The sequence below is a fragment of the Homo sapiens genome, chromosome 1 (genome assembly GCF_000001405.40).
Source record: "Homo sapiens chromosome 1, GRCh38.p14 Primary Assembly".
Classification (NCBI taxonomy): domain Eukaryota; kingdom Metazoa; phylum Chordata; class Mammalia; order Primates; family Hominidae; genus Homo; species Homo sapiens.
The window spans coordinates 147,809,277-147,821,598 of NC_000001.11; positions in this window are offsets into that span (position 1 = coordinate 147,809,277).

Sequence of the window (12,322 nt, forward strand, 5' to 3'; positions counted from 1 at the left end):
GTCAGGCAAAAATTGGTGTATTTTGGAATGAATAATGCAGAGGAAATAGCCAAGCAATTTTCATGTATGTTTAGAAATAATCAGATAAGAGAGACCAAACTTTCTCTTTTATCATTCCAGAAACATTTCACAGAAAAGGTCACTTTTAATAGCTATTTGGAAGAAAATGAGAGATGAAAAGAGCACTTTCAGCAGTGGAATGGAATGGAGCAGAGTAGGGTTTGAAGGAGGGAGTAGAGAGGAATGGAGTCTCCTGGGCTTGTGGGGCCACAGCAGGAAAGAGAAGTCCAATTACACACAGGGTGTTTGAAGTTAGCATAAGGACTTCGTTTTCTATTCCTCTTCTGTTGGATCACATCAAAAAAAAGAAAGTGGTACATGGCATAACAGTTGGGGAGTCAGATAGACTCCCCAACATTTGAATTTTGTCTGTTTTCATTTTTTTATAATCCTATGCGAGTTGCTTGACTTTGGTGGACCTCAGCTTCCTCATCCACGAAAATGGAATGATCCACTGCACAGGTAATGAGGTAACATTTGAAAGTTCTTAGCACAGAATCTGACTGGATTAGTCAGATTTTGCTGCAGCAACATATAACTCCCAAATCTGAGTGGCTTACAAACACAAACATTTATTTCTTGAGGGCTGTGAATTGGCTTTGGCTCTGGTGGTCTCCACAGATCTCCATTTATCTTTTCATTCAGTGACCCATAGCAACGGGATGGCCATCGTCTAAGATAACCTGTTTTCACTGTGGAGCACAGGCTCTGAAGGGGACACAGCCAAACCACACCAGCTCATTAGCATCTTCAGCTCTGCCATGGCATAGGGCATGTCTGCTCATACTCCACTTGACAAGGTAAGTCCCATGGCCCAGCCCAAGGCCAATAGGGATGTCTTCTCCACCTCCAGAGGAGTGCAGCCATCGGGGAGTGCACACATCATTGTCAACAAGTAAAGCTGCCTACCACATGTGGCGTTTCATTGGCTACTGCTCCTGAGTCAGTAAATATGTTCATAGATATCTAGAGATGCAAGCGGCCTAGGAGAAGGATGGGACAGTTATGTCCAAGGAGGTAAAAAGAAATGTACACTTGTGTCAAAACCTATTCCCGCCACCACAAACCTCTTCTATTGCTCCAAATTCCCAGCTTTGGGAAAAAATGGGTGAAAAAGAATTAATTTTTTTATAGGGGTTCATGGTAACAGTTCCTTTATCTCTTACTTTCTTCTTCCTGCTCACTTCTCACCAACCAATCTGGCCTCCTTGGCATTTTTTGAAACATTAAACATGCTGCCAGCTCAGGGCCTTTGCACATACTCTTCCATCTGCTTGAATAAGCTGCCCCAACATCTGCATGACCCCATCTCTTACTTCATCAGGTCTCTGCTCAAATGTCACCTTGTCCAAAAGGCCTCCTCTGACCAATCTATATAAAATAACCAACCCCTGCCCCAACCATCCCTTATTACCCTTAACCTGATTTACTGTTCTCCATAGGACTTATAGTCTGGGATATTATATATGTACTTATTTTTGTTGTTATTTATTATCTATCTCCATCATTTAGAATATAAGCTCTGCGAGAGCAAGGAATTACTCACTGCTGTATCACCAGCACCTAGAATGGTGAATGATACATAACAGGTAGTCATTAAATATTTGTGGAATTAATTAATTGAGCAAATATGCACCATGACTTTACAGAAATGAATCTCATTTTAATCTTCACAGGAACTATACAAATATACACGCATGTGGTATTGCCAAGCCCCATTGAATGGGTATGAATACTTAAGTGAAAGATTTAAAATAACTCACCCAAGATCAAACAGCACAGGGCTGCCCACACTGCCAACACTATAAGGAGGGGTAGGCAGGGCAAAGGCTCTCCCTCCAGGTTGTAGCTGAGACACAGCATTGCTGCTTCTCCTTCCCAAGACGGAGGAAGTATGGAAGATCCCTTGTACCCTGCAGGACCAGCAGAGCCCTGTGCCCTGGCCACCCTGCCTCCCAGGAAGGTGCCAGGCAGAGAACAGAATATCCTCCACCTGGAGGTAGGGAGGTTAGGACTGGGGAGAGGGAGTAAAGGAGACACTGGTCTGCTTTTTGTGACCATGACCAGCAGAAAGAGGGCTAGCCCGGAGCACATCAATAGCACCTTGTTGACTTTTAACGCTTCCTCACCACCTCTTCTTCTGTGTGCGCCATCTCTGATAACATGCCACAGCCAGCGTAATCTCTTCAGGGTGTCTCTCAGCCCTCCTGCCCTGCTACAGCCTTTCCTCTGCCCAGCTCCAAGCATGCCGTCTGCAGACAAAGGCCTTGAAGAGGCTGCATGTGTCCTTGACCCTCACTGACAGCACTTGCTTCTGGACTCAGAGGGAGCCCCAGGGAATGCCCCGGCCACCTTCCGCCTGTTTCAAGGCTTTACCATCCAAGATCACTGGCAGTAAGAATTCGTTCATCCCTTTTACTGTCCCATCATTCCCACTGCCCCCTAACCCTGCAGTGCCTTTCCCTTGTCAGTAGCCACCAACAGAAAATTACAGAAACAAAAGATCATCACTCTTCAATTATTTATTCAATGCCTGTGTATAAAACACCACCATAATACTGTCCTACGTGTCTGCAGAGCTGACAGTGTCCAGCCCCCACTAGACAACCTCATGCCCTTCCTCAGATGTCACTCTACAGGAAGCTGCTCACCCAGCCCATACACAGAGACTAGCGAGATGACCCAGAGGTAAACTCCAGATCAGTGTGTCTCTCATGCTGATTTTTAACTTCAGATGAACTTGCAGGACCAAGGGAGCCTGCAGGAGGAATGATCTCCAGGAACCACCACCCCTTCCAGGAGCCACCGTTTAAGGGCTTGAGAATGGCCCTCTCTTCCCCTGCCAACTGTTCTTTGATCCTCTAGAAGAGTGTTTTTTAAACACAGCAAATCACAGCTCATTAGTGAGACATGAAATCAATTTAGTGAGCTGAAATCACCATATTTTATCTTAAAAGAGAAAAGAAAATAGTTTGCGTTGCACAAAGTAAAGGTGAGTATTGTTTTATAAAACTTCTCTTTCGGTTGTGTGTGTGTGTGTGTGTGTGTGTGTGTGTATTCTGGGTGGAGTATTGAGTGTATTTTTTGCTGTTATGACACAGAATTTACCCATCAAAGAAAAGCACCTATTATAAGCTGTGGCAGAGGGTCTTCCAAAGGCGGTTGTCCTACCCACTCAACAAGGACAAGCTTGGGGTTCATGAATCATGGGATGTGAACTGTGAGGACCTGACAGTCACCTTAGCTCGTGGGTATCAGGGCATCCAGAGGAGTTTGATTTGAGAGTGGGACTGATCAGAGGATTCAACAGTCCTAAAAGAAAAGGATTCTTGCTGCTAACAGTAAGGACAAAACTGAGAGACTAAAGGTAGCAGAACAAACAAAGGGTCTGGTGCATGGATTGCTCCAAAGAGGAAGGTTAAAGTAGGCTGTCAGTATTTAATGTTAATACAAAGCACCTAGCTAGGTGCTGTGGAGTTCAAAGGAACAAGATAGATCCTGGCCTTAATGAGCCCACATCACAGTAAGGTTGAAAACCAAGCAGATCTGAACCAGTAATGGGCCCACATGTGCAAAACAGCATGTTAATCAAGAGTAGACCTCATGGGTATCAACTATAAGAGTAGTAAGCAGCCAGAAGCAGAGAGAGTGTGAGCAAACTCACAGGGGAACTTGAGCAAGGCGCTAAGGGATGAGTCAGAATAGTGGGGTGGGAAAGGCATTTAAGATCCAATATCCAGAGAAATTGAGTCAAGGTGGGAGCTCCGAGCCAATGTGATGTGTTCTTGAGCCTACACCAATATTAGCCTAGCTGGAGCAGAGGGATTCTGTCTGGAGACTTGCTTTGTAGGGTGAGGCAAGGTTATGAAGGGTCAAGGAAATGGATGTGATATTATAAATAAAATAAAAATCTAACATAACCCAAATGTCAGTTTCAGGCACCCTGCCACTTGAGATTCAGATAAGATTGGCTCGAATCTCCATTCCACATCCTGTGGAAAGTTTAATGCCCTCCCCAAGATGTCTGCATTCTCTCAGAGCAGTTACTTTTTTGTGGCCTCCTCTGGTTCTGGAATTAGTTCTGTTGTTAGTGATCTCACCTTCCAGTGCGTGTAGCCCTCTTACCCAGTCCCTTGAGTGACAGTCCCTTGAAACCCAGTCCCTTTCCTTGATTTACTTATACACACATACATAGACACACACACACTACAATTTTACAAGGCCTTTGCTGACATTTTGAGAAAAATGAAGAAGGGAGGATTTACCCAGAAGCAATGGAAACAAATCAAAATTTAATATTAAAAAGTCTGTGTTCTTAACAGATTATTTCTTCCCTAACAGGAATTCTGATGCCAGCTACTAAGATAATAGTTGAGTTTTTATTTTTAATTATTATTCTGCTTCACCAAGAAATGTTACAGAAGAAGAGTGGCAGCTATAAATGACAGAGTAGGAGGTGGAGGACTAAGTGCAGAGGAGGAATGAAAGAAAGGAAACAAAAAAGAGGGTGTGGAGATGATTTTGAGGTTTAAAACATTGTCAAAGGAATGAAGAAAAACAGAAGTTAAGGAAATTCAACCAAGTCACATTGCACTGACTTGTATTTACTAAACTGATGTTTTGAAATTCAGGTCTGAGGCTGGTAGGAGGAAGGAGTTTGGAGAAAGGAGCCATGTAGAATGACACATGGAGGTTAGACCTCCAGCCAGAGAGGAACATGAAGCATCTGAATTCTAGCCTGAATATGCTCCTAACTTGCAGTATAATCTTATTTAACTCACTTCCTTTTCTGGAACACTCAGTTTCTTATCCGTACAGCAAGAAAGTCAGATTAGTGACCCTTTGCCATAAATTCCATCATCATCTGTTTATTTTTATTGTCTTTCTAAACTTATTATTAATAGCTGAAGGAGCCACAGGAAAGAGTTCAATAATTGTGAGTGGAGGGCAAGAGGGATATCAAAACTTCTGAAAATGAGTGGGATTGGAGATGTTAGACTAGTTGACTAGGACATTAGCTAAAATGTTGTACAGTTATTCTAATAGAGTTGTATTTTAATAGAGAAAGAAGATCTTTAGCAGAAACACATACTAACTGTTCTGAGACTCAGCTCTCCAAGAAGGCCTGGTAGGTGGGCCCACACCAACATGAACATTCCTCTCTGTTATTCTGGTGTCTCCTATCCCAACTTTGGACATAGTATCTAGAAAAGAAAAATACGCCCACTAAATTCTGTCTTGATAAACCTACCTTCCAAAGAAGAAGTGTTTCTCAAAGTGTGCGCAGTTGGTCCTAAAGATGCTCTGAAAATAAATGAAAAACAAAGGGGAACCCTTGTGGGAAACCAGCATATGCACCCCCCAACATGTGACTGTAGGAGACCAGAATATGTTACCCCAAAATATGACTATGGGGAACATAATATGCACCCCAAAGTATGACTATGGCAGAAAAGAATATCTACCCCCAAATATGCCTTTTTGGCATAAGGATTATTTTGAGCTGATTATTTTGAGAAACTTCAGACACAGGAGAAATTCTGAAAACAGAGTAGAAGTTACCCTTTTGTAAGGGAAATTTATACCCATAAGCCTCCATTTGTAAGGGCATCTTTCTCTCAGTATAAGGAAGAGAAGGCTGACTAAATAACAAGAGACTTATCAATGGAGAAGACACTGACTTTAATCTGCATAACCAATCTTACCCTTGTTTCCCATGCTTCTCCTGGGCATCTCCTCATAACCAGCCTTTCCCACACCTTTCTTTCTTTGTCTTAACAGATAATGGTATTTAAGTCTGTTCTGAGATTAACTCATTTCTCTGGGTATCTCCCAGAGATATACATGAGGTATACATGTTACTAAACTTCTGTTTCTTTTTCTTTTATTATTCTGTCTTTTTTTTTTTTTACAGGAGTCTTTCTTATCTAAAAACTATGAAGGATAGAGAGAAAAACATTTCCCCCCCACAACATGTACTTGCTTTGAGTCTTGCTGAACTTCCCACACATTCTGTGCTCATGGGACATTGTAGATGTTATATGTAAATAGGGTAACAGAAGGGCAGAGACACATATTCTCTCTGTTCGTGGACCTGCTCCGTTTTCCCATCAGATTCCACTTATCAAACAAAAGTTCAAAGATAAGATTAGGAATAATTTCAAGATGGTGAGAGCAGTGTACTAAGCCAAGTAAAGGGGTCTTCTGAGCACAGGGTCCTATGTGACTGCACATGTCTCTGCCCATGGAGCCAGCCCTGGAAAAGGGTTCATCAATCACATAAATGTCTCTCCCTCTGCTGGCCATTATTGTGCTGTATTTGGGAGATATGGCAGCCATCTTCCGACCACGAGGGGAACTAGCCTGAGGACACATCTGACATAAGGGAAGAAAGAAAGAATGGTGTCTCAGTTCATTTTGTGCTGCTGTAACAGAATATCAATTTGTGGGTAATTTATAAGGAACAGAAACTTCTTTCTCACAATTCTGAGGCTGAGAAGTCCAAGAGCAAGAGGGTAGCATCAGGCATGGACCTTCTTGCAGAGTTATCCCATGGCAGAAGGCAGAAGGGCAAGAGAGGGTGAGAGAGGGCAAAAGAGGGTGAGAGAGGGCAAGAGAGGGCTAAACCACTTTTATTATAACAACGCACACTCTCCATAACGAACCCACTCCCACAATAATGACATAAATCCGTGTGTAAGGGCAGAGCCCTCACGACCTAATCACCTTTTAAAAGTCTCACCTCTCAAAAGTCCCACCTCCCAACACTATTGCATTGGGGATTAAGTTTCTAACACATGAACTTTGGGGGACACATTTGAACCATAGCATTCTTCCCCTAACCCCCAAAATTCATGTCCTTCTCACATGCAAAATACATTTATTTCATCCCAATATCCCCAAAGTCTTAACTCATTCCAGCATCACCTCAAAAGTCTGAAGTCCAGAGTTTCATCTAAACTGATTATCAGTGAGACTGAAGGCAGAATTCATCCCAAAGCAAATTCTTCCAGCTGTGAGCCTGTGAAATTAAACATATTGTCTACTTCCGATATACAATGGTGGGACAAGCATATAATAAACATTCCCATTCCAAAAGGGAGAAATAGGCAAGAAGAAAGGAGTAACTGGTCCTAACTAACTATAAAACCCAACAGGGAAAGCAACAGTATGTCTTAAAGCTGGAGAATAATCTCCTTTGACTCCAAATCCTGAATCCTGGGCACACCTGGGTGGAGGTTAAGCCCCCATGGCCCAGGCAGCCCTACCCCCACAACTTTGCTGGGCTCAGCCAAGCTTCATCTCTCTCAAGCTGGAGTCTGGTATCTGCGGCAATCCCAGCCTAGATTACACTAAAGCACCCAGGCAGTGATATTCTGTTATGGCAGCACAAAATGAACTGAGACACCAATTTTGGAGTCTTGGTGGTGGTCTTGTTCCCTCAGCTCCAGTAGATATTTCCATAGTGGGAGTTTTCTGCGGTGGCCTCATTCCCATGGCTTCACTAGTCATTGCCTAGGTAGGGATTCTCTGTGGCAGCTTCACTCCTGCAGCAAGTTTCTGCCTGAGCCCCCAGGCTGTCCACAACACCCTTTGAAATCTCAGTGGAGGCCGCCATGGCCCCACAGCTCATGCACTCTTTGTGTCTGCAGAGTTAGCACCACATGGACAACACCAAGGCTTACAGCTTGCACTCTCTGGAGCTGGGGCACGAACCACATCTGGGCCTACATTCACCAAGGCTAGAGTGACCAAGGAGCACTGTGCCAGAATGTGGGGAGCAGAATCCCAAGGCAACCCTGAGCAGAGAGCTCATGGAGGGCACTCAAGGCTCATCCCCCCAAATCATTCTGCCCTCTTAGAGTTTTGGGCCTGTGATGGAAGAGGCAGCCTTGAAGATCTCTGAAATACCTTTGGGGTCATTCTCCCATTGTCTCAATGAATAGCATCTGGATTCCTTCCATCTGTAATCATCTCCTTATTAAATAGTTGCTTGTCTGCATCCTTGGTGTCCTCTCATAAACATGCTTCTTTGCCAGGCACGGTGGCTCACGCCTGTAATCCCAGCACTTTGGGAGGCCGAGCCGGGCGGATCACAAGGTCAGGAGATCGAGACCATCCTGGCTAACACAGTGAAACCCCATCTGTACTAAAAATACAAAAAATTAGCCAGGTGTGGTGGTGGGCGCCTGTAGTCCCAGCTACTCAGGAGGCTGAGCCAGGAGAATGGTGTGAACCCAGGAGGCAGAGGTTGCAGTGAGTTGAGATCGTGCCACTGCACTCCAGCCTGGGTGACAGAGTGAGACTCTGTCTCAAAAAAAAAAAAAAAAAAAAAAAAGGCTTCTTTATTCTTTACATGGACAGAAAACATTTTTCTAAATTTTTATATTCTGCTTCCTTTCTGATCATAAATTCAATCTTTAAACTATTTGTCTCATTTTTCATTTTACTGCAAGGGGCCAAAAGAAGCTATGCAGCACCTTTGGTGCTTTGGTGCTTAGAGATTTCTTCTGTAAGATATCCTAGTTTATTGCTCTTAAATTCTGCCTTCCATAAAGCCCTTGGGCATGGATAAATTCAGCCAAATTGTTTGTCATTCTGTAACAAGGATGACCTCTACTCCAGTTTCCAATAACTTGTCTCTCATTTCTGTCTGAGACCTCATCAAAATGGCCTTTACTGTCCATATTTCTACCAACATTCAGATCATGACCACTTAAGTAATCCCTAAGAAGACAGGCTCTCCCTACAGCTCTTGTCTTCTTCATAGCTCCCACCAGAATCACCCTTAACGCTCAAGTTATGACAATATCGGCTTTTTCTAGCCTGTTCCTCCAAATTCTTCCAGCCTCTACCCATTACTCAGTTCCAAAGTCACTTTGACATTTTTAGGTATTTGTTATAGCAACAGCCCCACTGCTTGGTACCAATTTTGTGTCTTATTTCATTTTGTGCTGCTATAACAGAATCCTACAGTCTGAGTAATTTATAATGAACAGAAATTTATTTCTCACAGTTCTGAAGACTGAGAAGTCTGAGATCAAGGGGCCGCGTCTGGCAAGGCAAGAGAGAACAAGAGAGGGCTGAACTTGCTTTTATAACAACCCACTCTGTCAATAACAAACCTACTCCTACAATAATGACAAAAATCCATTCATGAGGGCAGAGGCCTCTTGACCTAGTCACCTCTTAAAGGTTCCACCTCTAAACATTATTGCATTGGGGATTAAGTTTCCAACACATGAACTTTGGGGATACCTTGAAATCATAGCAGAAGTGTCTTTGGAGAGGTTATTGAGTCTCTAAATTAATCAGTTCCCCTAGCCACTTTGAGTTGAGTTTTCTCTTATTTGTAGCTGAAAGCATCCAAATTTGGCCCCAACCCAGAAATCTATATTTTTAACTAGCTCCCTGGGTGACTCTGATGCAGGTAGTCTAGAAACCATATTTTGAGAAACTCAGCTCTAAAATGATGGCAAACATCTCAGCTGTATCAGAAAAACCATGTTTCCACGAGATGGATCACCTCGATTGATTCAAGTGGGTGCCTCAAATGCACAGTTCTTACTTGCTTTGACCATCAATACTGCCTTTGTACAAAGTTCCACGTACCCTCTACACTTAAGAATTTCTTTTTTAAAAGTTATCTGTGATTGCTTAACATCCTGGGAACTAAATAGCTGAAAATCTTGGTTTTATATCTATTTTCTTCATGTTATCCCTCCAGGGTGATATGGGAAGATTTATTGACTTCCTTAGTACCTCATGGAGAAACTGCATGGTGTAAAATGTTTTTAGAGTCTCAGGATTCTCCAGGGGCTCACCCAATCACTCAATACCCATGCATTGATCTAAATAAAGAATAGCGGCGGCGGCTGCTATTCTTGCAAAGTAGGGTCACAGTGCCTAACTTCCCCTCCTGAGAAAACAGGGGCCCAGTTCTGACCTGCACTGTCCTCATAGAGCTTAGATCGGGCAAGGGAACAGAAGCAGCTGCAGCAGGGAGTATGGAGTAACTGGGGAAGAGAAATCATTCAGGGCTAAAATAGCGCCTGAAACTCAAAGACAGTCCAATTCAAGTGCCCAATTCACAGTGATCCGAAAAGAAAGACCAGGCCAAGGAAAAGAACAGGTCGTAACCTGGGTCAGTAAGACAGAGAGAGAGAGAGAAAGAGAGAAAGACAAAGAGAGAGAACTGGAAGTTGAGAGGGATACAACCAGTTTCCCTTTAGGGGTGCCTGTGGCTTTCCATGGAAGAGAAAGAACTATTGACGACATTAAGTTGGTTTGTTGTGGAGAAAAACACCACAAACTTCTTAGTACAGATTGAGTAATCCTAATCCAAAACTGAAATTCGAAATGTTCCAAAATCTAAAACTTTTTGATTGTCAACATGGTGCTTCAAGAAAATGCTCATTGGAGCATTTCAGACTTTTAATTTTCAGATTAGGGATGCTCAACTGGTAAGTATAATGCGAACATTCCAAAATTCAAAGAGACCTGAAATCCAAAGCACTTTTGGTCACAAGCACTTCGAATAAGGGATACTTAACCTGTATATGCATTTGTCTCTCAGCAAATTGGTAACAAGTAGAGGCTCAAATCTCCGACACAGTATATTATAGATGGCACTTTTGCTGCAAGGGGCAGAAAGAAGGGATAAAAAATTATTTTAAAGCTGTACATAGTCCTCCATAATGCACTGTCTTACATTATTTTCTTACTGCATCATGGAGAAGAATCGTCTGCATCTCTCAAGGGGATTATAGCTCCCTGAAGGCAAGGACCATGTTTTATACTTGTATCACCACTTTATGGTGAATTTACATCTCCACAAGTTGAACTGAATTGATTTGAGCTATACCATTTCCCAAAGGAGTCATTTGATTTAGAAAGCAATAAATGAAACAAGGGCCGTCCCTCTGTAGAGGAAAGCCAACAGGCACTTCCATAGACATTGTATCAGGAAGTGGGAGAACTGATTTCATCCCACCCAAATGCCATATTTTAGGCCATTATCCTTTTGTAATGAAAATGGGTGGGAATATATTAATATTTCTCCTCTTCCTCCTCTATCTTCTTAGTCTTGTCTCAAAAAGTCTCTCTTGAAACTCCTCCTTCCATAAGGCCTGCATTTCCGCCACTGGAGACTTGTTCCTTTGAATTAAGTATAGCCCTCTTGAGCCCAAAGTTTTAAAATGTAAATACCTCTGGGAAAAGAAACACATTACATCTCTATTACTTTTATATAAATGCATTTAACCCAGGCTCTTCTCCTCGTAGAAAGGACTAGGCTCCTCCGGGGGCTAAGAATGATGAAAAGGGAGGAAAGCAATGATGCCCAGAGAAGAACAGATGTATGGGGCAGGGAAAAATGGTGCTCAGGTAAAAGTCAGCCTCTGTCCCAATCTCACTGAGGTCTGGCCCTGAATAAAACCAATAATAATAATCACAGTAGCTTTTATAGCTCATTATGTGAGACTCATTTCTTCGTGGTAAAACTCCTTTACAAAGCTCATTACAAATAACTCCTTACACAGGGCTATTATCCCTTTGTAATTAAAACAATATATTGCATCCTCCACTTGGGATTCCTGTGAAACAGCATGGATAATACACAATGGCACTCTGAAAGCTTTTATTTAGTTCCTCTTGAGTCAAAGCAGAAGCTTCCAGGAAAGATTTATCAGCTAATTCCAGAGAGTTATCTCAAATAACTCACATGCAAGATATGGGAACCGTGGGGGAGATTCAAAGCTCCCTTTAGGGTGTGAAGAAGGTGCAAATGTAAGATCATCTCCAAAGCTCTCATGAAGCCAATGACGTATCACCTGTGGATTTACTGGGGAAAGAGTGAGAATTGTGGCGTGAGCAGAGAATGAGGGCTTATCTCTTCTAAGCAAGCTAATCTTTCCCTGACATCTTTCTTTTTGCACTAGAAAAATGTATTTTTTAATAGGTATGCTTTGTATAAAAGAAATTTTGAACTTTTGAAATCCACTGTTTGTTCTTTTCAAAGGGTACTAATAGTGGGCCTCAGTGACTTTATCTATAACTTGGATTAATAATGCCCACCTCAGAGGGCAGAAGTGAGGATCAAATGAAGTTGCATGTGAAGCACCTGGTCAGAGCCAGGCACAAGGGAGAGGCTCCATGGATATTTGTTAGGTCCCTTTCCAACTTCTCTCAACCTGACTGTAATCCCAGAACTTGCTCTGGGAAGCCACTGTGTCAAAACTCCTAGATCCCATTTCTAACTTCT